Raw genomic sequence first — 26,988 nt, 5'->3', positions numbered from 1 at the left:
AATTTCTGTTAAATTTTTGTTTGTTTTGTATTACTATTGTTTTTTGTAAAGACAGGGTTTTGCCATGTTGCCCAGGCTGGTCTCAAATTCCTGAGCTCAAGTGATCTGCACACCTCGGCCTCCCAAAGTGCTGGGAATTTTTGTTAAATTTTTTAAGTTAATTTTTAAATTTAATGTTTGCTTCTTTCCTATCCACCACTGTGCACAGTATCACCAGAGTCAGAATCCTCTGTAGTTCAATATCTCTGGAAACAAAACCTGTCAACTCCAATGGTTTTCAACAAAGTTTCTTCAAGGAAATTTCCTTCCAATTATAGAGAAAATTTAAATTCTCGACATCAGTGATGAAAGGGGTAGACCAAGCAAGTGGAAGAAAGGCTATGGGGTGTGAATCTTCCCTGTGGACTTTCAAAATTGTTGATTAAAAAACAACAACAACAACAACAACAAAACAAAACAAAAAAACAAGCAGAATTGGTTGAAATAGAAATTTTCTAAATTAAAAATTGACAAAGATATTAACAGCACTAGTCAATTTTAAGCTAGTTTTGTTAACAAATTTTGACTTTTGTTGTTGTTGTAGTTGTAGATACAGGATCTCAATATGTTGCCTAGGCTGGACTTAAACTTCTGGCCTCAAGTGATCTTTTTGCTTTGGCCTCCCAAATGCTGGGATTACAGGTATAAGCCACCATGTCTGGCCTGACCTATTTGTTTAACCAAAATGTCTGCTTCCATGAACTACTTCTTGTTCTTCAAATAATACTTAGTCCCTTTTCTGCTGCTATAACAGAATATCGCAGACTGGGTGGTTTACAAAGAATAAAAATTTATTTGGCTTACGGTTCTGGAGACTGGAAAGTCCAAAAGCATGGCACTGGCATCTGGTGAGGGCCATCCCATGGTGAAAAGCAGAAGGCAGAATTGAGCATGTGAGACAGAGAATTGGGGCCAAACTTATCTTTTTATCAGAAGCCCACTCCTGAGATAACTTACCCACTCCCATGATAACAGCATTAATCCACTCATGATCTAATCACCATGTAAAGGTGTCACCTCTAAATACTGTTACAATGGCAATTAATTTTATTTAAAAAAAATAGAGACAGGTCTTGCTATATTACCCACGTGGGTCTCCAACTCCTGGGCTCAAGCAATCCTCCTGTCTCAGCCTCCCAATGTGCTGAGATTACAGGAGTGAGCCATTGCATCCAGCTGGCAATTAATTTTCAACATGAGTTTTGGCAGGGACATTCAAACCACAGCAAATACGCAATTCATGATTCATTCCATTTAATGCTTTACTCCCTAGTTATTTATTGATTCTCCTCAGGGTCCCTGGCAAACAGTGAGAGACTTCATCTTTGGCCTCCTTGACCTCTGCTAATTCGTTCATTTAACAAACATTTGTTGAGATCCTGCTGTGCTTCAGACAATATACAAGCAATGTGGATACAGACCAGGAAGAGCTCATAATAAACGGTGAACCGCAAATAGTACATAGGTAAGAGCTATGACTGAGAATTATGTATGAAATATTGTGTGACTACAGCTGAGAAACCGTAGAACTTCCAGTGAGAGCATGAGTCAGCTTGGCTAACGTGACAGCTGAGGTATTTTAAAATCACTTTAGCCCATATCATCTGGCTCACTCATCTTCTCCACTACATGCAAAGGAAAATAAAACCTATTGTGTTTTCCCATTCAAATGAAAATATAGGTTGAAGTTCTCTCCTGAGTTGTCATCTTTTTTCTACCCATGTTTTCCCAGAAGATTGTGATACAGTGAAAGGTCACAGAATTTGGAATCAAAATTAGAATTTTCTGCCACTTAGTTGCTATGACCTTTTGACAAGTTACTTGACTTCTGTGGATCTTAGAGTCTTCGTCTGTTAAAACAGGAGTCCCCAACCCCTGGGCCGTGGACTGGTGCTGGTCCATGGCCTGTTAAGAACTGGGCCACACAGGAAGAGGTAAGTGGCAAGCAAGAGAAGTTTCATCTGTATTTATAGCTGCTCCCCATCACTTACATTACCGCCTGAGCTCCATCCACCTCCTGTCAGATCAGTGGTAGCATTCAATTATCATAGGAACATGAACCCTATTGTGAACTGCACATGGAAGGGATCTAGTTTACACACCTCTTATGAGTATCTAATGCTGGATGATCTGTCACTGGATGATGTCTCCCATCATCCCCAGATGGGACTGTCTAGTTACAGGAAAGCAAGCTCAGGGCTCTCACTGTTTCTACATTATGGTGAGTTGTATAATTATTATATGTTCCAATGTAATAATGTTATAAATAAAGTGCACAATAAATGTAATGTGCTTGAATCATCCTGCAACCATCCTCGCCACCCCCAGTCCATGGAAAAATTGTCTTCCATGAAATGGATCCCTGGTGCCAAATATGCTGGGGACTGCTGGGTTAAAAGAGATGACAGATGCCAGGTGCGATGCTTCACACCTGTAATCCCAGCACTTTGGGAGGCTAAGGCGGGCAGATTACAAGGTCAGGAGATCGAGACCATCCTGGCTAACATGGTGAAACCCCATCTCTACTAAAAATGCAAAAGAATAGCCGGGCGTGGTGGCGGGCACCTGTAGTCCCAGCTACTCAGGAGGCTGAGGCAGGAGAATGGCGTGAACCCGGGAGGCGGAGCTTGCAGTGAGCCAAGATTGCGCCACTGCACTCCAGCCTGGGTGACAGAGCGAGACTTCGTCTCAAAAAAAAAAAAAAAAAAAAAAAAAGAGATGACAATAGGCTGGGCATGGTGACTCAGCCTGTAACCCCAGCACTTTGGGAGGCCAAGGCAGGGGGGATCACTTGAGGCCAGGAGTTCGAGACCAGCCTGGCCAACATGGCAAAACCCCGTCTCTACTAAAAATACAAAAATTAGCTGGGCATGGTGGTGCATGCCTGTAATTCTAGCTACTCAGGAGGCTGAGGCAGGAGAATCGCTTGAACCCAGGAGGTTATAGGTTGCAGTGAGCTGAGATCATGTCACTGCACTCCAGCCTGGGCAATAGAGCAAGACTTCGTCTAAAAAAAAAAAAAAGAAATAGCAACTATGTGGCAGGCTGCTGTCAGTATTAGCAATGATGTATACAAAATTATAGACTGTTGTACTGATGGCTCCCTACTGATATTCCTGGTATTCATGCCCTTGGGTAGCCTCCTCCCATACTGACTCTGGACTTGGTTATATGACTTGTTGGCTAATGAGACATAACTGTGACCCAGGCAGAAGCTAAATAAATATTTGCACATTCAGCCTGGCCAACATGGCGAAACCCCGTCTCTACTAAAAATGCAAAAATTAGCTGGGCGTGGTGGCCAGGCATCTGCAGTCCCAGCTACTTGGGAGGCTGAGGCAGGAGAATCGCTTGAACCCAGGAGACGGAGGTTGCAGTGAGCCGAGATCGCACCACTGCACTCCAGCCTGGGTGACAGAGTCAGACTCTGTCTCAAGAAAAAAAAAAAAAAAAAATGTGCACATTGAGGCTTACACTCTTGGAACTCAGATGCCATGTAAAGACATTTGGGCTACCCTACATAAAGAGAGGGGCCCCCGTCTTCCAGCTGTCCCCACCAAGTGAGGCCCTCTGGGACCTTCTAGCTCCAGCCAATCCACCAGCTGAATGCAGCTTCTTCAGTGAGCCCAGACAAGACCAGAACCACACAGCCAGACCACAAAATCATGAGAAATTACTGTTTTGTTTCAAGCCACTACATTGTAGGATGGCTTGTTAAGCAAGAATACATAATGGACACACCAATATTTTAAAAATACTCACATATACCTACTATGAGCCAAGCACTATGCTAGGCTTTAGGGAGACAGCCGTGAACAAGACCAGCAAGGGCCTCCCTCTCATGGAGCTCACATTCTAGTGGGGAAGACAGACCAGAAAAATCAAATGATTGTGCTTTTTTTGGTGTACTATAAAGGACAAGGTTTATGAGCTGAAGCAGAGAATAACAGGGAATAGCAGTTGCTTTTGATAAGGCGATCAGGGAAAACCTCTCTGAGATTAAATTCAAGCAGAAACTTACAACATGAGAAGAAAGTAGCCAGGGAAAGTCATAGACTAGGTCTCAATAAATCACAGCTATTACTAGTAACATATAAAATTATTGATATTTATTATTTGTATACTTGGTATACAGAAGACATATATATATATATATAATCGTCATATATCTATAATCCATATATCTATATACTCCATATATCTATACACTCCATATATCTATATATACTCCATATATCTATATATATAGATATATATAGTTTCCTGCCCTTTCCCTTCCCCTATGTCACCAGTCAGGGTCCAATTAGAAAAATAAAAATCACCAGAAGGATTGTATTATCCTGTTCTCACACTGCTATAAATAAATGCCTGAGACTGGGTAATTTATAAAGGAAAGAGGTTTAATTGACTCACAGTTCCACAGTGCTGGGGAGGCCTCAGGAAACTTACAACCACGATGGAAGGCGAAGGGGAGGCAAGGACCTTCTTCACAAGGCGGCAGGAGAGAGAAGTGAGAGTGTAGGACAAAAACTGCCACTTTTGAAAACCATCAGATCTTGTGAGACTCACTCACTATCGCTAGAACAGCATAATCCAATCACTTCTCTCCCTCAACACGTGGGGATTACAGGGCCCTTCCTCAACATGTGGGGTTTACAATTCGAGGTTTTGAGATGAGATTTGGGTAAGGACACAGATCCAAACCTTATCAGGGATTTAATATAGAGGATTTGTTTCAGGTGTCAGAAAGCTGAAAGAGCAGAAAGCAATGCTGAGGTAGCCTAGAGGGCTACAGAGAGCAACTAATTCTTGTAGTGCTGGAATAACTAAAGGGAAGAGGTTGGGAGTCACCAGTACCGAGAAACTTGGAGGAGGGTCTATGAAGAGAAAGCATCACTCAGCTGCTATTGATATTTCTGAGAGGGCTCAATGAGGTTGGTTCTCAAGGAGCACCCAAAGTAGCTGGAAGCTGGAACCAACTACTATTTGTAAAGTAAAGTGTTGTTTTGGGGGTAACATTGGCTGAAAGAGCAAGTTGAAAGAAGAATGTCCCTTCTTCTTTTCTGTTACCTTCCAATCTTCCTCTAGTGCCTGCTATTGACAGAGCTTTGCAGGAAGGCAGCTAGCAAAGAAATCTGTGAAAGGAACATTGCAGCGTCCCAGACACAGCATAAAAGAGAGGAGCATGCAAGGGCAGATTTGGAGCTGAGAAATGGCAGGCAAAGGGCTAAGAATGTCCAGGTTAGTTTTACCTAACTTCTGTTTTTCCAGTATCTGGTCCAGTATAGCATTTGTTCTGAATCTCTCTGTTATTTTTAAGAAGGAATTTTTCTTTTAAAAAAGTTTCTGAGTAAAACTGGTTTTGGCCAGATGCAGTGGCTTACACCTGTAATCCCAGCACTTTGGGAGGCCAGGGTGGGCAGATTGTTTTGGTTCAGGAGTTCCAGACCAGCCTGACCAACATGGTGATACCCCATCTCTACTAAAAATACAAAAAAATTAGCCAGGCACGGCGGTGCATGCCTGTAATCCCAGCTACTTGGAAGGCTGAGGCAGGAGACTCGCTTGAACCCGGGAGGTGGAAGTTGCAGTGAGCCAAGATCGCACCGCTGCACTGCAGCCTCTGTCTCAAAACAAACAAAACAAAACAAAACAAAACAAAACAAAAAAACCTGTTTTATATATACTAATAAAATGACGATCAAGTATGTATTAGGTTGGTGCAAAAGTAATTGCGGTTTTTGCCATTGAAAGTAATGGCGAATATGTCCTTCATTGAAACATGACGGCAGGAACTTCTATCTTTGTCTGTCTCAGTAAAAATGAATGAATGGTTGAGGGCATGGACGAATGGAACTTACAAGATCTGTCTTTCCAATGGCCGGGGGGCATTTGGTCCCCACACTAAGGCTATTGGACATCTGCACAGGACAGTCCTATTTTTGGTGTCCTTTCCTTTCTGAAAATAAAGTTGTGCTTTAGAGAATGAAAAAAAAAAAGTAATGGCAAAAACCACAATTACTTTTGCACCAACCTAATATATAAACTACCTAGAGCAGCCACTAAAAGCTAATCAAAGATATATACTTAAAAACACTATAATAAATAAAAAATGAAAATCTGAAAAATGTTCAAATAACCGACAGGAAGACAGAAAAAAAAAAAAAAAAAAGCCAGAAAGACAAAAACAGGGAGAAACAGAAAACAAAATAGGAGACGTACACCAACATATCAATAATATCCTTAGCTGCTACAGCCCCTGCCTTGATGCATGGCACTCCAGCCTGCATGAATGCTCCCCACAGCCGCCACTACCCATTGGAATGGCCAACAAGGTACCTGCGTGTGGCCTGAGCCGGGAGGTGCAGCAGAAAATTGAGAATCCATATGACGCAGACCTGGAGCAGATCAATGGATCACCACCCAGTGCCAAAAGGATGTGGGCTGGCCCCAGCTTGGACATGAGAACTTCCAGAATTTCCTCAAGGAGGGCACAGAGCTATGTGAGCTCATTAACGCACTGTGCCCCGAGGGGCAGGCCCCAGTAAAGAAGACCCAGGTCTCCACCATGGCCTTAAAGCAGATGGAGCAGATATCTCAATGCCTGCAAGCAGCTGAGTGCGCTATGGCATTAACACCACAGACATCCTCCAAACTGTGCATCCCTGGGGAGGAAAGAACGTGGCCTGTGTGCAGTGGATCCTGATGAACCTGGGTGGGCTGGCAGTAGCCCAGGACGATGGGCTCTTCTCTGGGGCTCCCATATGGTTCCCTAAGAAACCCAAGGAGAATCCTTGGAACTTCTCAACCAGCTACAAGAGGGCAGGAACATGATTGAGGTACAGATGGGCAGCAACTGCGGGGTGTCTCAGGTTGGCATGACCGGCTATGGGATGTCACGCTAGATCCTCTGATCTGAGGACTAAGCCCTGATTTTTTTTTTTTAATCTTGTCCAAATTCCTATCTGGGGAGTCATGCCCTACAAACCATAAATTCTCATCAGATGGGTTTTATTTAACCCTGTATATCGTGACTTACTTTCCAACCTGACTCTGGAATAACATTACGAGACAAGGAAGAAAATCAAAATATTTTACCCCAAGACATGTTTCTTTGCCATATCTTCATATGGCCCTGCAAAGCTATCCTTTTGGGAGGAAATTTTGCATCTGTAAAGAATCTCTATTAACATAGCTGGATCTTTTTTTTTTTTTTCCAGGCCCTCCCAATCCTAAAGAAATTAAAAGTCTTGCACCTTTTTTTTTGAGATGGAGTCTCGCTCTGTCGCTCAGGCTGGAGTGCAGTGGCGTGATCTCTGGTCACTGCAACCTCTGCCTCCCAGGTTCAAGTGATTCTCCTGCCTCAGCCTCCCAAGTAGCTGGGATTACAGGCACGTGGCACCATGCCCAGCTGATTTTTGTATTTTTAGTAGAGACGGGGAAACTCAGTCTCAGGTAACCTCCGCCTCGCAGGTTCAAGTGATTCTCACTTGATTCGTGTGCCTCAGTCACCCAAGTCGCTGGGATTACAGGTGCCCACCACCATGCCTGGCTAGTTTTTGTATTTTTAGTAGAGATGGGGTTTCACCATGTTGGCCAGGTTGGTCTTGAACTCCTGACCTCAAGTGAGCCGCCTGTCTCAGCCTCCCAAAGTGCTGGGATTACAGGCGTGGGCCACTGCGCCAGGCCTGGGGATTAGAGTTTTTAAGGACAACTTACTGGGACGGGGGAAGCCAGTGAGCTGTGAGTGCTGATCAGTCAGGTCAGAGATGAAATCACAGGAAGTTGAAGATGTATTCCTGTGCTGAGTCGGTTCCTGGGTGGGGGCCACAAGATCAGATGAGCCAGTTTATCGATCTGGGTGGTGCCAGCTGATCCATCAAGTGCAGGGTTGGCAAAATATCTTAAGCACTGATTTTAGGAGCAGTTTAGGGAGGGTCAGAATCTTGTAGCCTCCAGCTGTATGACTCCTAAACCATAATTTCTAATCTTGTGGCTAATTTGTTAGTCCTATAAAGGCAGTCTAGTCCCTAGGCAAGAAGGAGGTTTGTTTTGGGAAAGGGCTGTTATCATCTTTGTTTTAAGCTGTAAACTAAGTTCCTCTCAAAGTTAGTTCGGCCTTTGCCCAGGAAGGAACAAGGACAGCTTAAAGGTAGAACCAATATGGAGTCAGTTAGGTTAGATCTCTTTCACTGTCTCAGTCATAATTTTGCAAAGGCGGTTTTTAGTTCTCCCACAGCTGTGGCTGCAGGGACTTAATTTATAGGGAGGGGCTTGTGGCGGTTGCTACCCCAGCCACTGCTGCACCGTGCTCACCACACATCTGGGGTAGGCTTCCCTGGCAGAGGCCCTCGTGGCTTCTCATTTTCCATTCCCCTCACTGTGGCTAGGGAGTAGGGGTGAGGGAACAGAGAAAGGAGGGCTGCCTACCATGGTCTGGGGCTTGAGGAATATGAGTTTGTTGATTTAAATAAAGAACTCCCCTGTCCCTGTCCCTGTCCCTGTCCCTGTCCCTCTCCCTCTCCCTCTCCACGGTCTCCTTCCACGGTCTCCCTCTGATGCCGAGCCAAAGCTGGACGGTACTGCTGCCATCTCGGCTCACTGCAACCTCCCTGCCTGATTCTCCTGCCTCAGCCTGCCGAGTGCCTGCGATTGCAGGCGCGCGCCGCCACGCCTGACTGGTTTTCGTTTTTTTTTGGTGGAGACGGGGTTTTGCTGTGTTGGCCGGGCTGGTCTCCAGCTCCTAACCGCGAGTGATCCGCCAGCCTCGGCCTCCCGAGGTGCCGGGATTGCAGACGGAGTCTCGTTCACTCAGTGCTCGATGGTGCCCAGGCTGGAGTGCAGTGGCGTGATCTCGGCTCGCTACAACCTCCACCTCCCAGCCGCCTGCCTTGGCCTCCCAAAGAGCCGAGATTGCAGCCTCTGCCCGGCCGCCACCCCGTCTGGGAAGTGAGGAGCGTCTCTGCCTGGCCGCCCATCGTCTGGGATATGAGGAGCCCCTCTGCCTGGCTGCCCAGTCTGGAAAGTGAGGAGTGTCTCTGCCCGGCCGCCATCCCATCTAGGAAGCGAGGAGCGCCTCTTCCCGGTCGCCATCCCATCTAGGAAGTGAGGAGCGTCTCTGCCCGGCCGCCCATCGTCTGAGATGTGGGGAGCACCTCTGCCCCGCCGCCCTGTCTGGGATGTGAGGAGCGCCTCTGCCCGACCGCCCCGTCTGAGAAGTGAGGAAACCCTCTGCCTGGCAACCGCCCCGTCTGAGAAGTGAGGAGCCCCTCCGTCCGGCAGCCACCCCGTCTGGGAAGTGAGGAGCGTCTCCGCCCGGCAGCCACCCCGTCCGGGAGGGAGGTGGGGGGGGTCAGCCCCCCGCCCGGCCAGCCGCCCCGTCCGGGAGGTGAGGGGCTCCTCTGCCCGGCCGCCCCTACTGGGAAGTGAGGACCCCTCTGCCCGGCCAGCCGCCCTGTCCGGGAGGGAGGTGGGGGGGTCAGCCCCCCGCCCGGCCAGCCGCCCAGTCCGGGAGGTGAGGGGCGCCTCTGCCCGGCCGCCCCTACTGGGAAGTGAGGACCCCTCTGCCCGGCCAGCCGCCCCGTCCGGGAGGGAGGTGGGGGGGTCAGCCCCCCGCCCGGCCAGCCGCCCCGTCCGGGAGGTGAGGGGCGCCTCTGCCCGGCCGCCCCTACTGGGAAGTGAGGACCCCTCTGCCCGGCCAGCCGCCCCGTCCGGGAGGGAGGTGGGGGGATCAGCCCCCCGCCTGGCCAGCCGCCCCGTCCGGGAGGTGAGGGGCGCCTCTGCCCGGCCGCCCCTACTGGGAAGTGAGGAGCCCCTCTGCCCGGCCAGCCGCCCCGTCCGGGAGGGTGGTGGGGGGGTCAGCCCCCCGCCCGGCCAGACGCCCCATCCGGGAGGTGAGGGGCGCTTCTGCCCGGCCGCCCCTACTGGGAAGTGAGGAGCCCCTCTGCCCGGCCACGACCCCGTCTGGGAGGTGTGCCCAGCGGCTCATTGGGGATGAGCCATGATGACAATGGCGGTTTTGTGGAATAGAAAGGCGGGAAGGGTGGGGAAAAAATTGAGAAATCGGATGGTTGCCGGGTCTGTGTGGATAGAAGTAGACATGGGAGACTTTTCATTTTGTTCTGTACTAAGAAAAATTCTTCTGCCTTGGGATCCTGTTGATCTGTGACCTTATCCCCAACCCTGTGCTCCCTGAAACATGTGCTGTGTCCACTCAGGGTTAAATGGATTAAGGGCGGTGCAAGATGTGCTTTGTTAAACAGATGCTTGAAGGCAGCATGCTCGTTAAGAGTCATCACCACTCCCTAATCTCAAGTACCCAGGGACACAAACACTGCGGAAGGCCGCAGGGTCCTCTGCCTAGGAAAACCAGAGACCTTTGTTCACTTGTTTATCTGCTGACCTTCCCTCCACTATTGTCCTATGACCCTGCCAAATCCCCCTCTGCGAGAAACACCCAAGAATGATCAATAAAAAAAAAAAAAAAAAAAAAAAAAAAAAGAACTCCAGGCCAGGTGCAGTGGCTCACGTCTGTAATTCCAGCACTTTGGGAGGCCGAGGCAGGTGGATCACCTGAGGTCAGAAGTATAAGACCAGCCTGGTCAACATGGCGAAATCCCGTCTCTACTAAAAAAATACAAAACTTAGCCTGGCATGGTGGCGGCGCCTGTAATCCCAGCTACTTGAGAGGCTGAGGCAAGACAACTGCACCATTGCACTCCAGCCTGGGCAACAAGAGTGAAACTCTGTTTCAAAAATACAAAAAATAAAAAATAAAGTGAGTCTCCCCTAGACAGCATACAGTTTGAGCATGTCTTTTTTATCCTTCTCCCAATATTTCCCTTTGATTGAAGTGTTTAATCAATTTATATTTAATGTAATTATTGTAGGATTTGTATCTGCCATTTTGCTATTTGTTTTCTATATGTCTTATGGCATTTTATTGTTCCTCTATTCCTTTATTACTGCCCTCTTTTGTGTTAGATATTTTCTCATGTACCATTTTAATTCTCTTGTCATTTTCTTTCTTTCTTTCCTTTTTTTTTTTTTTTTTGACAGATTCTTGCTCTGTCTCCCAGGCTGGAGTACAGCAGCACCATCTCAGCTCTCTACAACCTCCGCCTGCCGAGTTCAAGCGATTCTCCAGCCTCAGCCTCCTTAGTAGCTAGGATTACAGGCATGTGCCACCAGGCCTGGCTAATTTTTGTATTTTTAGTAGAGATGGGGTTTCACCATGTTGGTCAGGCTGGTCTCAAACTCCTGACCTCGTGATCCGCCCGCCTCAGCCTCCCAACTTTCTTTTTTTAGAGATGGGATCTTGCAATGTTGCCCAGGTTAAACTTGAATTCCTGGGCTCAAATAGTCCTCCCACCTCAGCCTTCCAAGTAGCTGGGACTATAAGTGTGTGCCACCACACCCAGCTCTTGTCATTTCTTTTACTATATTTTCTATTTATTTTCTCTGTTGCCCTTGTGATTACAGTTAACATCTTAATTTATAACCATCTACTTTAAATTAATACCAACTTAATTTCAATAATAGACAAGAGCTTCATTTCTATATAGTTCTATTACTTCACCACTAGTTTGTGCTATTATAGTCATACAGAATAAGCCCAATACAGTTTTATAATTATTGCTTATCCAGTTATCTTTTAAATCGGGTAGAAAAAGGAAAGACTTATATACACATAAAAATAATTTATAATGTCTTTTACATTTACCTATATAGGAGGTACCATTACTAGTGCTTTATTCCTTTGTGTAGGTCAGAATTACTGTCTATTTCCTTTTACTTGTTCAGGATCTCACTCAGTCACCCAGACAGGAGTGCAGTGGTGTAATCATAGGTCACTGCAACTTCAAACTCTGGTGCTCAAGTGATCCCCCTGCCTCATCCTTCCAAAGTGTTGAGATTACAAGCATGAACCACCATGCCTGACCCACAGTTTTTTGTTTTTAACCAGTGAATGTCTTTATTTCTCCTTCACCTTTAAAGAATAGCTTTACTGGATATAGAATTATTGACTGACAGTACTTTTTAATTTCGGCACTTCATATGTCACCCCAGTGCCTTCTGGTCTCCATGATTTCTGATGAGACATTCTCTGTTAATCTTATTGAGGCCTTACTGTATGTGACAAGGCACTTCTCTCTTGCTGCTTTCAAGATTCCCTCTTTAACAGTTGGATTAGGATGTTTTTAGGTGTTGATCTCTTTGAGTTTATCTTACTTGGATTTTGGTGAGGTTCTGGATGTGTATATTAATGTTTTCCATCAAACTTGTGAAGTTGTAGGTCATTATTATTTAAGATGTTAATTATGCCCCATTCTCTCTCTCCTCTCTTCTGGGACTCCCATTATGTATAAGCTGATATGCTTGATGGTGGCTCAAAGATCTCTGAGTCTCTTGTTTATTTTTATTCATTTATTTTCTTTCTATTCCTCAGATTGGATGATCTCAATTGACCTATCTTCAAGTTTGCTGTTGTACCCCTCTAATGAATTTTTTATTTCAGTTTTTGTACTTTTCAACTTCAGGATTTCTATCTGGTTCTCTTTTTAATATAATTTCTATGTCATAATTGATGTTGTACATATGGTGACACATTGTTTTCATGCTTTCCTTTAGTTCTTTAGACATATTAGTTCTTTGAACATATTTTTAGTAGCTGATTTAAAGTTTTTGTCTAGTAAGTGTAATGTCTGGCCCCCCTAAAGGACACTGAAAGTTTACTGGCACCATATTACCTTTTTTGACCTAGTCTTTTACCTTGTTTAGGCAGTCACACAAGTCCACCCAATTTCAAGTGGGGAGTGGCAAAGCTCCGGAATTGCAGGTGGGACCACAAATGTTTCTGTGACCATTTGTGGAAAATATAATCTGCCACATTTACTGTTTTGGAAAATCAAGTCACTAATGGCAGCACTGCTTATAGTAGTCAAGTCACCAGTTCAATACACTTGTCTCAGCCTGCATTAGTACCATAAAGCATATATATGAAGTTTTTTTTTTTTTTTTTTTTTTTTTTTTTTGAGACAGAGTTTCACTCTTGTTGCCCAGGCTGGAGTACAATGACACAATTTCGGCTCACTGCAACCTCCGACTCTTTGGTTCAAGCAATTCTCCTGCCTCAGCCTCCTGAGTCACTGGGATCACAGATGACTGTCACCACGCCCAGTTAATTTTTGTTATATTTAGTAGAGACGGGGTTTTACCATGTTGGCCAGGCTGGTCTCGAACTCCTGACCTCAGGTGATCCACCTGCCTCAGCCTCCCAAAGTGCTGGGATTACAGGTGGGAGCCACTGCACATGGCCCAAGATGATTTTTAAGATGTGAGCCTTAAGCTCCTTCTTGGGTCTTCTGGAGTTGTAGTGGCCAAGCATTTTTATATTAAAGTATCTTTCATAAATTGTCTTTATTTTATGTATCTTTTATATAACAATTAGGACATTACATTTATTTTCTGCATTAAATAATTATTAAATTTTATAATTTTTTATTGAAGCATAACATATATGCTGAAGTACCCAAATCTTCAGTGTATAGCTCAAGGAATTTTTTCAAAGTAATAGTACTCATTTATTATCTCACAGTTTCTATTGGTCAGGAATTCAAGAGAAGCTGAGTTGGTGGTTCTGGCTCAGAGTCGCTCATCAGGTTGGAGTCAGATGTTGGCTGGGACTGCAGTTATCTGCAGGCTTCACTGGGGCTGGAGGATTTACCTTCAGTGTGGTTCACATGGCTGGCAAGTTGGTGCTGGCTGGTGGTTGGGGGCCTCAGATCCTTTCTCCACGGGGCTCTCCCTGGGTTTCTCTGAGTGTGCTGACAATATGGTAGATAGATTCCCACAGAGCAAATAATCCAAGATACCAAGGTGGAATCAGCAATACCATTTATGATCTAGCCTTGACAGCCACATGCCATCATTTCTACCATATTTTATTGGCCACACAGAGCCAACTCTGATTCACTGTGGGAGGGGACTACACAAGGGCGTGAATACCAGGAGGCTGGGATTACTGGGGGATGGCTACCACATTGCCCCATAGATGGATTCTATTCTGGGTTCCACAGGGGTTCCATAGTCACATCAGTGTCTTGCATCACCTTCTTTTTTTTTTGAGACAGAGTTTTCCTCTTGTGCCCCAGGCTAGAGTGCAATGGTGTGGTCTTGGTTCATGTGAATCACTTCTTTTTTTTTTTTAAATCAAAAATCACATTTTTTTTTATTATACTTTAAGCTCTATGGTACCTGTGCACAACATGCAGGTTTGTTACATATGTATACATGTGCCATGTTGGTGTGCTGCACCCTGAATCACTTCTTAACTTCCTGTGTCTTGAATGTTGCATTGGTATTTTCCAACAATCACCCTTGGCTCCTCAAGGCTGTGCCCTCCTTAGTATCTTTGAGTTCTGAGAACACTGTTTATTACTAGCTAAGCAATAATTCCCATTGCCAAAGCTCCAAGGCTCATCTGCTTGTTTGTCTGGAGGTTTTCAAATAGACAAGGATGTGTTAATGACCTAGTACGTTATCTGTTAAGTTTTGGCAGGCAGCATGGAAATGTGACTTTTTAAATAGGAAAAATAAAATTGTAATTTTATTCTTAAACAACCACAATTACTTACTAATGGTATGTGTGCCTGTTGAGCAATGCACAGTTCCTCAAACCGTGGAATCAAATTAGACATTGCCATTCACATTTCCTGTTCCACATTGATATTTACACACTACTTACTTTTTTTTTAATAAGGGGAAATATTTTTAATTTTAAAAGTTTTTAATTAAACATTTTTTAATAAAAGGAGACACTGATGAACACTTTGTTTTCAATTTTGTACGCTTACTAACAATATTCCAAAGAATGTCTCATACAAATATCCTTGTTCATATGTGGGAGTGTTTCACAATAGTTTATTAGAACTGGAATTTCTGGCTTATAGAACATTTGCATTTCCAATCTTACTAGGTAATTCTGAGTTGTTCTCCATAGTAATTTACTCACTTATGCTCCTAAAGTGTTTAAGAATTTCCCTTTTGTCCATTCTTGCCAAGTTGAGTATTATTAAACTTCTCCATGTCTGCCAATCTGATGGGTGTGAATTTCATCTCATTTTTTAAAAAATTAGGGTAAATTACATCTAACATAACAATCACCTGCATCTCATTTTTTTCCAATATTAAACACAGTTTTATTTAAGACATTGCATTTTCCACTTACAATACAGTGCTTATAAAGTGCAATGTTATTTCCTTCCCTTGTGCACATGTTCCATATTCAAGTATTGAGAATGCCCAGTAATTTACTATAGCAGCTGAACTTTAAAAGCTGCCACAGAATTTGCTACAAATTTAAGTCCTTCCATATTTTCACTGTGTGGAACAATGCTACATCTTTTCTTGGGTTGGCTTAATTAACTTCTTCAATGGTAGGCCCTGAGGAAGCATTGACAGAGGGAGGAGCTCCACTACCAGGGTATCCCCCAGGCATTCCTCCTGGTATGCCTTCTGCACTCTGGTACAGCTTGGTAATGATGGGGTTGCAGACTATCTCCAGCTCTTTCTGCTGATGTTCACATTCTTCCTTCACTGCGGTCTGATTCTGTTGATAATTTCATTACACTTGTCAAGAATCTTCTGCTTGTCTGCATTGTTCATCTTGCCTTGAAGTTTCTCATCTTCAACAGTGCTTTCATGTTGAATGCATGGGACTCAAGTGAATTCTTGGGTGACACCTTGTCCCTCTGCTTCTCATCTTCAGCTTTGCACTTCTCAGCTTCCTGGGCCATAGCTCAATATCTTCCTTGTCCAAATGGCTCTTGTCATTAATGACAGTAATCGTGCTCTCTTTTTCTACTCTTGTCCACAGCAGAGACACTGAGGATGCCATTGGCATCAATGTCAAAAGTGACTTCGATCTGAGGAACAGTGGAGTGCAGGAAGTAGGCCTGTGAGTTCAAACTTGCCAATCCATAGAGACAGAAAGTAGATTGATGCTTTCTAGAGGGAGGAATAAGTGAATGGAGAATGATGGCTAGTGGATATGGGATTTCTTTTCAGGTTGATCAAACTATTATAATATTTTTGTTGTTGTTTTTTGTTTGTTTGTTTTTGAGACAGAGTTTTGCTCTTGTTTCCCAGGCTGGAGTGCAGTGGCATGATCTCGGCTCACTGAAACCTCTGTTTCTGCCTCCTGCGTTCAAGCCATTCTCCTGCCTCAGCCTCCCGAGTAGCTGGGACTACAGGTGCACAGCACCATGCCTGGCTAATTTTTGTATTTTTGGTAGAGATGGGGTTTCACAATGATGACCAGGCTGGTCTTGAATTCCTGATCTGAAGTGATCCTCCTGCCTCAGCCTCTCAAAGTGTTGGGATTACAGGTATGAGCCACCGTGCCCGGCCAAACTATTGTAATATTAGAAAACAGTGATAGTTGTATATCACTGTGTATATACCAAAACACATCAAATTGTATGCGTTAAAAGAATGATGTTTATTGTATGTGAATAATATCTCAATAAATTTGTGATAAAATAAGATGAAAATGCATTTCAAAATTCTTTCCTTTATGTTTCTTTTATATATCACACTTAGAAATGGAAATAGCTTTTTCAGGGAGAAAAGCCATCTAGAGACCTTGTGATGTGGTTTGGATGTTTTCTATCTCCAAACGTCATGTTGAAATTTGATTTCCAGAGGTGAAGCTGGGACCTGGTGGGAGGTGATTTGATCATGAGGACGGATCCCTCATGAATGGCTTAGCACCATTCCCATGGCGATGAGTGAGTTCTTGCTCAGTTAGTTGATGCGAGATCTCATTATTTAAGAGTCTGGGATCTTCCTCTTCACTCTCTTGCCATGTGATACACTGCTCCCCTTCACCTTCCACCATGATTGTAAGCTCCCTAAGGCTCATGCCATAAGCGAGAGGTTTGCGCCACACTTCCTGTACAGCCTGCAGAACCATGAGCCAAAATAAACATCTTTTCTTCATAAAAAAAAAAAATTAAAAACCCCAAAACTTGCCAAACAGGTTGTAATCCTTGGTCATGGAATGCTCATCTCTATAAACCTGAATAAGCACACCAGGCTGGTTGTCAAAATAGGCAGTGAAATTCTGTGTCTGCTTGGTAAAAATGGTAGTATTGTGCTTAATGAGGACAGTCGTGACTCCGTCATCAGTTTCAATACCAAGGAAAGAGGAGTGGCATCCAACAGAAGCAAATCTGGAACATTTTCAGACTTGTCTCCAGATAGGAGGGCTGCCTGGACAGCTGTGCCATAAGCAACAGCTTCATCAGGGTGGATGCTCCTATTCAGTTCTTTTCCATTGAAGAAGTCTTGGAGAAGCTTCTGAAGGTTGGGGATATGAGTAGAACCACCAACCAGGACAATATCATGAGTCTGTGACTTGTCTAGTTTGGTGTCTCGAAGGGCTTTCTCTACGGGGTCGATGGTGCCATGGAGCAAGTCAGTTCTTCAGGTCAGTTCTTCAAATCAGGCATTGGTAATGGAGGTATAGAAGTCGATTTCTTCATAGAGAGAATCAATCTCGATACCGGCCTGGGTGCTGGAAGAGAGAGTATACTTACCACATTCACAAACCATATGATGGTGTGAGATAGCTCTTTTGTTCTCACTGACATCCTTCTTTTTTTTTTTTTTTGAGATGGAGTCTTGGTCTGTTGCCCAGACCGGAGTGCAGTGGTGTTAGCTCACTGCAAGCTCCACCTCCCGGGTTCAAGCGATTCTCCTGCCTCAGCCTCCCAAGTAGCTGGGACTACAGGCACATGCCACCACACCCAGCTAACTTTTGTATTTTTAGTAGAGATGGGGTTTCACCATGTTGGCCAGGCTGATCTCAAACCCCTGACCTTGGGATCCGCCCTCCTCGGCCTCCCAAAGTGCTGGGATTACAGGTGGGAGCCACCATGCCCAGCCTCACTGACATCCTTCTTATGCTTGCGCTTGAACTCAGCAATAAGATGGTTGACTATTTGGTTGTCAAAGTCTTCTCCACCCAAGTGAGTTCTCTGGGTGTAGATTTTTTTTTTTTTTTTTGAGATGGAGTCTTGCTCTGTTGCCCAGGCTGGAGTGCAGTGGCACGATCTTGGCTCACTGCAACCTCTACCTCCTGGGTTCAAGTGATTCTCCTGCCTCAGCCTTCCACGTGGCTGGGATTACAGGTGCACACCACCACACCTGGCTACTTTTTGTATTTGTTTTTTAGTAGAGATGGGATTTCACCACTTTGGCCAGGCTGGTCTTGAACTCCTGACCTCAAGTGATCTGCCTACCTCGGCCTCCCAAAGTGCTGGGATTATAGGCATGAGCCACAGTGCCTGGCGTTCCAGCTGTAGATTTGATGTCAAAGATCCCATTCTCAATAGTGAGGATTGATACATCAAAAGTGCCACCTCCCAGGTCAAAGATCAGCATAATTATTTCAGCTCCAACCTTTCTCTGTCTAAGCCATAAGCAATAGCACCTGCAGTTGTCTCATCGATAATTCTAAGTACATTGAGACCAGCAATAGTTCCAGCATCTTTGGTAGCCTGACGCTGAGAGTCATTAAAGTCAGCTGGCACTGTGACCACAGCATCGGTAACTGTTTTCCCAAGATCAGCTTCTGCAATGTCCTTCATCTTTGTTAGAACCATAGAAGACATCTCGTCCTCTGGGTAGAAGCTTTTTGTCTCTCCGCTGTCTCCTCCTTGGACCTTGGGCCTGCCAGCATCATTCACCACCATGAAGGGCCATTGCTTTATATCACACTGGACAACAGCATCATGAGATCTGCATCCAATCAGACATTTGGCACTGAAAACTGTGTTGGTGGGGTTCACTGCAACTTGATTCTTTGTGGCATCACCAACCAATCATTTGGTGTCTGTAAAGGCGACATAGCTTGGAGTAGTTTGGCTTCCCTGATCATTGGCAATTGTCTCTACTTTTCCGTGTTGGAAAACACCCACATGAGAGTAGGTGGTGCCAAGATCAATACCAACTGTAGGTCCCTCAGACATGGTTGCTGCTGCGTAGGTCCAGCTCGGACAGTGAAAAAAGACACAGAAACCCCAAGAGCTGCAGGAACCCCAAGAGCTGCAGGCACGTTCCATGAGCTGCATCTTTTTTTTTTTTTTTGAGACGGAGTTTCACTCTTGTTGCCCAGACTGGAGTGCACCAGCATTATCTTGGCTCACTGCAACCTCCGCCTCCTGGGTTCAAGCAGTTCTCCTGCTCAGCCTCCTAAGTAGCTGGGATTACAGGCACCCGCCACCACACCCGGGTAATTTTTTGTATTTTTAGTAGGGACGGGGTTTCGCCATGTTGATAGGCTGGTCTCGAACTCCTGACCTCAGGTGATCCGCCCGCCTCAGCCTCCCAAAATGCTGGGATTACAGGTGTAAGCCACCGCGGTCAGCCACATCTAATTTTTGATTTAGATTTTTCTGGAGATAATTGTAGATTCATATACAGCTGCAAAAACAAATACAGAGAGATCCCTTGTTCAAGGAGGTATTTTTTTTAGAGAGATGAGGGTCTTACTATGTTGCCCGGGCTGGACTTGAACCCCTGGGCTCAAGTGATCCTCATCCTGTGCCTCAGCTGCCTGAGTAAGCTGGGACTATAGTTATACGCCACCATGCCTGGGTTTCAATGGCTTTTTATGTAGGAATGTAGTCATGTAGCCAACACTCACATCAACACACATCCATTCTCAGCACCCTCGAAGGCTCCCTCATGTCCTGCCCAGTCAATACCTATCAAAAGTAAATATACTGACTTAAAATTTTTATTTTGGCTGGGCACAGTGGCTCATGCCTATTAATTCCAGCACTTTGAGAGGCCAAGGCAGGTGGATCACCTGAGGTCAGGAGTTCGAGACCAGCCTGGCCAACATGGTGAAATCCCTTCTCTACTAAAAATACAAAAATTAGCTGGGCATGATGGTGGACATCTGTAATCCCAGCTACTCAGGAGGTTAAAAATACAAAAATTAGTTGGGCATGGTGGTGGACACCTGTAATCCCAGCTACTCAGGAGGTTGAGGCAGGAGAATCGATTGAACCTGGGAGGTGGAGGTTGCAGTGAGCCGAGATGGCGCCACTATACTCCTGCCTGGGCAACAACAGTGAAAATCTGTCTCAAAAAAATTAAAAATTAAAAATAAAATTTATATATCAAGGATGATAATAAACATAGTGTATTTATCATATTTGTATACTATAAAAGTATATTTATATATTTAGGGGAGTTGGGACTGATAAGATTGAGAACCACTGTGTCTAGTAAGACTTCCTTAGGCGGGTAGGTTGGAGGCATCAGAAAATGTGTTTTCCACCCTTTGCTTATTTTCATTGTCTGTCCCAGTCTGTAGTCTCAGGCACTGTGCTTAGTGAGGCATCACATAAAAATGGAATGATTAAGTTTTCTTTTTTTTTTTTTTTGAGACAGAGTCTCACTCTATCGCCCAGGCTGGAGTGCAGTGGCATGATCTCACCTCACTGCAATCTCCGCCTCCCGGGCTCAAGCCATTCTCTCACCTCAGCCTCCCAAATAGCTAGGATTACAGGCATCTACCACCTTGCTCAGCTAATTTTTGTATTTTTAGTAGAGATGGGGTTTTACCATGTTGTCCAGGCTGGTCTCGAACTCCTGACCTCATGTTATCTGCCTGCCTCAGCCTCCCAAAGTGCTGGGATTACAGACGTGAGCCACTGCACTCAGCCAAGTTGCCTTGTTTGAAAGTAATTGATGACAGTCTTAGAATTCGCCTAGCCCCACCCCTCGATGTGCCTTTTTTTTATTTTTTATTTTTTATTGAGACAGGGACTCACTCTGTCATCCATATTGGAGAGTGCAGTGGTGCGATCTCGGCTCACTGCAATCTTCACCTCCCAGGCTCAAGTGATTCTCCTGCTTTAGACTCCCGAGTCGCTGGGATTACAGGCACCTGCCACTACGCCTGGCTAATTTTTGTATTTTTAGTAGAGATAGGGTTTTACCATGTTTGCCATGCTCGAACTCCTGACCTCAAATAATCCACTCTCCTTGGCCTCCCAATGTGCTGGGATTACAAGCGTGAGCCACTGTGCCTGGCCTCGATGTCCTATTTCTTATTCATGTAACCTTTTCTGTTTTTACTGAGAAAGGAGTAAGACAAAGAGCATGGGTTATCAAAAGGACGTCATCCTTGACCACCACGCAGCAGGTAAACACCAAGAAAACCCAGAGAGCAGGAAGTACAGGCAGACTGTGGCTGAGGACCGGGTCAGGAATTCTCTGTCTTGTGGTTCACCGGTGGTTGGTTCCTCTTGGTTACAGGAAGAAGAAGGGACTAAGAGTATCTGAGTATGTGATGTGCAATTTTATGCACAGGGAACTCTGTTGGGCACATTGTGTAGATATCATTTAATCCTCACAACAACCCCGTGAAACAGGTGTTACAATTCCCTTCCTCTGGATTAAAAAAAAAAAAGGTACCCTGTCTCTACTAAAAATACAAAAATTAGCCACAGGAGGAGGTCAGGTAGGGAAGAGGATAGAGTGAGAAAGACTGCATCTAGTGTCTTCTGGCCAACCATTATTTGAATAACTGAGCAGAAGAAAAAGGCTCTGCAAAGGTATGAGGAAGAGGGGAAGAGGCCAGGTCCACCGGAAGCCAAGGCATGGCAACTAACATGATTCACCACCGCTGAGAGGGAAAGAAGAGGATGGAAACACGTCTGCTGACATTAGCAACAGGCACGTCTTGGGTGATGACGCTGATTGGGATGAAGAATGAAAAGGAAATGAGGCCATGGGACAGAGTGTATGGACCACTCTTTGGAGAGGATTAGTTGCAAAGGGGATACGAGTGGAGATGACGTGTTAAGGCTGTGTGTGTGTGTGTGTGTGTGTGTGTGTGTGTGTGTGTATGTGTGTGTGTGTTGTTTTGTTCTTATTGAACATGACTTGTGCATACTATGGAATCAGTAGAAAAGATCTGAAAGAGCTGGAGATAGAGACAGGAGAGTGAAGGGATGATAGACAGTTCTATGTTCCTACCAAAGACTCTTGGCCAAGATGCAAGGCAGGAATGAGAGCCTCACCTTTGATGGGAGGAACAGCAACCCCTGCTACAACAAGAGGCAAGGAGAGGAAAAAGTGAGCCTTTCAGTTGGTGTCGGGAAGAAGAGGCAACCATTGGCTTAAACACTTTGATTTCTCTGAATCTTAGCAGGTAGGTCCGCCTGAGAGTGAGAGGATCTGAGCAGAATAGAGTGGGCCTGAAATCATGCTTGCATGAGTAAGAAAGTGAGTTGGGCTGGGTTCGGTGGCTCACACTTGTAATCCCAGCACTTTGGGAGGCCGAGGCAGGAGGATCAGCTGAGGTTGGGAGTTCGAGACCAGCCTGACCACCATGGAGAAACCTTGTCTCTACTAAAAATACAAAATTAGCTGGGCATGGTGGTGCATGCCTGTAATCCCAGCTACCCGGGAGGCTGAGGCAGGAGAATCACTTGAACCTGGGAGGCAGAGGTTGTGGTAAGCCGAGATCGCGCCATTGCACTCCAGCCTGGGCAACAAGAGCGAAACTCCATCTCAAAAAAAAAGAAAGAAAGAAAAAGAAAGAATGTGAGTGGACTGGCAAAGCCTAATAGCCTAATAGTGTTACCCTGAAGGTCTAGTGGACCATTTGTGGAAGGGAACCAACCTGATTAGGTCAAAGTGAAATCTGCCTCGTATCCATGGATATAATCTGAAGAAAGGGCACCAGACATGCACAGATGAACAAGAATCAGTCCTTGCTCTCCAGGGCTTGTAGTCCATTGGAAAATTTCAAGGACACAGGTTGTAGGATAAGGATTAGGTTTGGCTGGGAGTAAAGGAGATCCCCCCAAAATAAAATAGTTTCTTTCTCTCTCAGAAATAATGTATGTAGTATACCAGAGATATTATGGCACACCACAGTGTTGTGAACCAAGACTTCTGTCTTGTTGCTCTAACATGTATGGCTTCCACTCCCAAGATATCTCATGGTCTTAGGCAGCTGCCATAGCTGCTATTCCAACCAAGAGAAATGTGGAAGAGAGAAAGAATTGACAAAGGGTGCATGCCAGCTATCTTTTATAGGGTTTCCTGGAAGCTGTCATCTCACTGGCCAGAACTTTATTATTTTTTCTGAGATGGAGTCTCATTCTGTCACCCAGGCTGGAGTGCAGTGGCACAATCATGGCTTACCAAAGCTTCGACTTCCCAGGCTCAATGATCCTCCCACTCCAGCCTCCTGAGCAGCTGGGACTACAGGCTGTGCCACCACACCCAGCTATTTTGTCATTTTTGCAGAGGCAGGGTCTCACTGTGTTGCCCTGGCTGATCTCAGACTCCTGGGCTCAAGCCTTGGCCTCCCAAAGTGCTGGGATTACAGGTGTGAGCCACTGCGCCCAGCCCAGAACTGAATCATATTACCATACCTCGCAGTAAGGGAGCCTGGCGAATGTCAGCTTTATTCCATTTAGCAATGTGCCAAACATAACACTTGGGGGAGGGGGACTTAGCTACCAAGGAAGAGGGAAGGAGCAGAAACTAGAGATCACTAACTGTCTCTTCTATATAGATAAATTAACAGATGAATGAGGCAAGGCACGGTGGCTCATGCCTATAATGCCAACACTTTGGGAGGCCTAGGCAGGAGGATTGCTTGACCCCAGGAATTAGACACGAGGCTGGACAACATAGGGAGGCCTCGTCTCTACTAAAAAAATTTTTTTTTAATTAGCTGGGCATGGTGGCACATGCCTGTAGTCCCAGCTACTTGGGAGGTTGAGGTGGGAGGATTGTTTGAACCTCAGAGGATGAGACTGCAGTGAGTTGTGATTGTGCCACTGCATTCTAGCCTGGAAGACAGAGCAAGACCCCATCTCAAAAAAACACAAAAAACAAAAAAAAGACGACAACAAAAACCCAATCAACTAATCAACAAACAGATGAATACAGTGCAGTGATACGGGCTAAGAACCACGTACAGAAAAGGGAGACATCAGCTCAGCTTGAAGCGGTCAAGAAAAGCTACACAGAGCTCAAGTTGGGGTTCTTTGGGTGCAATGCAATTTACAGAAACCATCAGGCAGACAGTGAATTGTTCGTTATCTGTTCTCTCCTTCTTCCATAGGATAGGATTTCAGCTGCCCAACTGAGAGCTATATTCCCAGACTGTCTTGCAGCTAGGTGGGGTTATTATTCAGTTCTGGCCAATGAGTTGTGAGCAGAAGTGCAGAAGTGGTGTATACCATTTCTGAGTCTTGCCCTTCTAAATCCTGAGCATATTCCTCCCTGGTGTGTAGGTGTGGTGCTGGGATCTAGCTTTGATCTTGCAGAGAAAAGCAATACCTTAAGGCATGGACTGCTGGGAAACAGAGACAGAAAAAGCCTGGTTCCCTGGATGTCCTAGTGCCTCAGAGCCCCCAACCTCCCTGGACTGCCTGCCTATAGATATAATAGGTAAACTATCCTGTTGGAGCTATATTTGGGGGTCTTTTGGGCAACAGCAGCAGTTTAGCCCATGCTGTAAATAATTTATTACTCAAGCTATTTGAAGGAAAAAAGAAAAGAGGGCAATAAAGGGGTACTATGCAACCCAAGTAGTGGAAAATGCTGCCCAGCCTCAGGGAGGAAAAGGAACTAAGAATTGGAGACTGGGTGGAAACCCACATATGCCTTTCTTGACTCTCATCCCTGCTTTGCTCTGCACACCTGCTTTGGTTGTCTGTCCCCCTGCAGACCAGCTTTGTCCGATTCTGCACTTATATAGCTTTTAAGGCTGCCCCGCAGTTTCCAGTGTATTTGTTATTGTTCTAGACACAGGTCGGCAATAAGCAGTGGTTTCAATCCCATTTTCAGATTCCTGAGAGGAAGGATCAGATTTGCCTGTCCTGGGTCAGGTATTTATCCCTGGAACTGTCAGTTAACTATGAGCAAGACAGTGAGGGTCAAATACTATCAACTAGGGGCTGAGCAGGGTGGTTTATGCCTGTAATCCCAGAACTTTGGGAGGCTAAGGTGGGTGGATCACCTGAGGTCAGGAATTCAAGACCAACCTGGCCAACATGGTGAAACCCCGTCTCTACTAAATTAGAAAAATCAGCCAGGCTTGATGGTGGGCGCCTGTAATCCCAGCTACCCGGGAGGCTGAGGCAGGATAATCGCTTGAACCCAGAAGACAGAGGATGCAGTGAGCTGAGATGGTGTCACTGGACTCTAGCCTGGGCAAGAGTGAGACTCCATCTCAAACAACAACAGCAACAACAACAACAAAAACATCTATCAACTGGCTACCTGGACCCCAACCCATGGAGTGACAGAATTTTTGGACAGGGTCATGGCTCTTGGACTGGGAAGGACCCCCTGATATGGTTTGGCTCTGTGTCCCCACCTAAATCTCATCTTGAATTGTAATCCCCGCGTGTCGATAGAGGGACCTGGTGGTAGGTGATTGGAGCATGGGAGCAGTTTCCCCCGTGCTATTCTCATGATAGTGAGTTCTCACAAGATTTGATGGTTTATAAGTGGCAGTTTCCCCTGCACTCTCTCTGCTGCCACCTTGTGAAGAAGGTACTTGCTTCTCCTTCTCCTTCCACCATGACTGTAAGTTTCCTGAGGTTTTCCCAGCCAGATGGAACTGTGAGTCAATTAAAGCTCTTTTGTTTATAAATTACCAAGTCTCAGGTGGTATGTTTATAGCAGTGTGAGAACGGACTAATGCAACCCCCAAAGCATCTACTCTGCAGGGTAAAATCCAGCTTCCTTAGTTTGATGTATAAGGCCTGGTACAACCTGACTCCACCCCGTTTTCTCTCTCACCTGCCTTCCCTACACACATACCCACTCCACACAATGAACATACCTTGTCTCCCACAGGACTACAGGTCTCTGCACATGCTGTTCACACTCTGGAATTTTCTTCCCTCTTTTCTGCTTGGTTAGCTTCTATGCGTGCTTCAACAGCTGACTTAAATGTTGCATTCTCTTGAGTAGACAACAACTTGATACTAAGTTTCATTTTACTGGAATTTTATCCGCTTAATTGCCATTGTGATAACACTTGTTATCCCTGAGGGGGAAGTAATAGATGTCTCATTAACATGAAATGTGCACAGTAAACTGCTACAGGACATTCTACTCACCAGAAATTTCTATGAACTGGCATTTCTAAACTATGCAATTGCAACTGATGGCAACTCTAGAAGATACAAAGTTGTTTCACAAGTCAATTAAAAATAAAGTGAGGTGTGAAAGAGAGAGATGCTTTCTGACTAGACTGCTAGTTGCCCCACTTTTATTTTATGTTTTATTTTATTTGAGAGGGTCTTGCTCTGTCACACAGGCTTGGGTGTAGTAGTGCCATCATAGCTCACTGCAGCTTTAAACTCTTGGGCTCAAACAATCCTCTTGCCTCAGCCTCCTGAGTAGCTGGGACTATAGGTGTATACCACCACCATGTCCAGCTAATTTGTCCATTTCTTTATTTTTGCAGAGACGGAGTCTTGCTATGTTGCCCAGGCTGCCCCACATTTCTAACTAGGCTCATCACTGCCTAGCAAAAGGCTACATTTCCCAGCCTTCCTTGCAGCTAGATGTGGCCATAGGACTAGGTCCATGCCCTAGAATGTGAATAGAAGTGCTAGGTGTGACTTCTGTGTTTCTTGCTTAAAAGCCAAATTGCATGCCCTCCACTTTTTCTCTTTCCCTTCTCCAGGGTGAAGCATGGATGAGGTTATGACTCAGCTTTGACCATGCAGCCAAAGACAACATCCTAGGAACTGTGAGCCAAGGGGATGGGAGGAAGCCATGGCCCCGACTGACCCGATGGAGCTGAGTAGCCCGACCAGTCTGGACCACCCACCCCTGGCCTTTTGCTTGAGAAATAAATTAATTTCAGATTCTTTAAACCTCTGA

The 26,988-nt window shown here is 45.3% G+C and overlaps 1 long non-coding RNA gene and 2 pseudogenes across 1 annotated transcript, besides 1 other annotated feature; 2 read left to right on the top strand and 1 right to left on the bottom strand.

Moving 5' to 3' along the window:
* Positions 1-1,820: 1,820 nt before the first annotated feature.
* On the top strand, positions 1,821-26,988 carry LOC124901928 (uncharacterized). The gene is made up of 2 exons (XR_007060881.1): positions 1,821-1,973; positions 26,789-26,988. It is a non-coding gene; the product is annotated as an uncharacterized LOC124901928 (long non-coding RNA).
* TAGLN2P2 (transgelin 2 pseudogene 2) lies at positions 6,286-6,955 on the top strand (annotated as a pseudogene).
* Positions 6,519-7,718: an enhancer, noted in NCBI's record as "P300/CBP strongly-dependent group 1 enhancer chr8:30106253-30107452 (GRCh37/hg19 assembly coordinates)". NCBI's record gives its function as "activates an origin of replication core promoter dependent on BRD2, BRD4, P300/CBP, MED14 and CDK7 cofactors, with strong dependence on P300/CBP, by STARR-seq in HCT116 cells {active_cell/tissue: HCT116}" and the evidence as "EXISTENCE:reporter gene assay evidence [ECO:0000049][PMID:35650434]".
* Positions 17,066-19,169, bottom strand: HSPA8P11 (heat shock protein family A (Hsp70) member 8 pseudogene 11; annotated as a pseudogene).

This window comes from Homo sapiens, chromosome 8, assembly GCF_000001405.40.
Source record: "Homo sapiens chromosome 8, GRCh38.p14 Primary Assembly".
NCBI lineage: Eukaryota > Metazoa > Chordata > Mammalia > Primates > Hominidae > Homo > Homo sapiens.
This window is presented reverse-complemented; position numbering and strand designations above follow the sequence as displayed.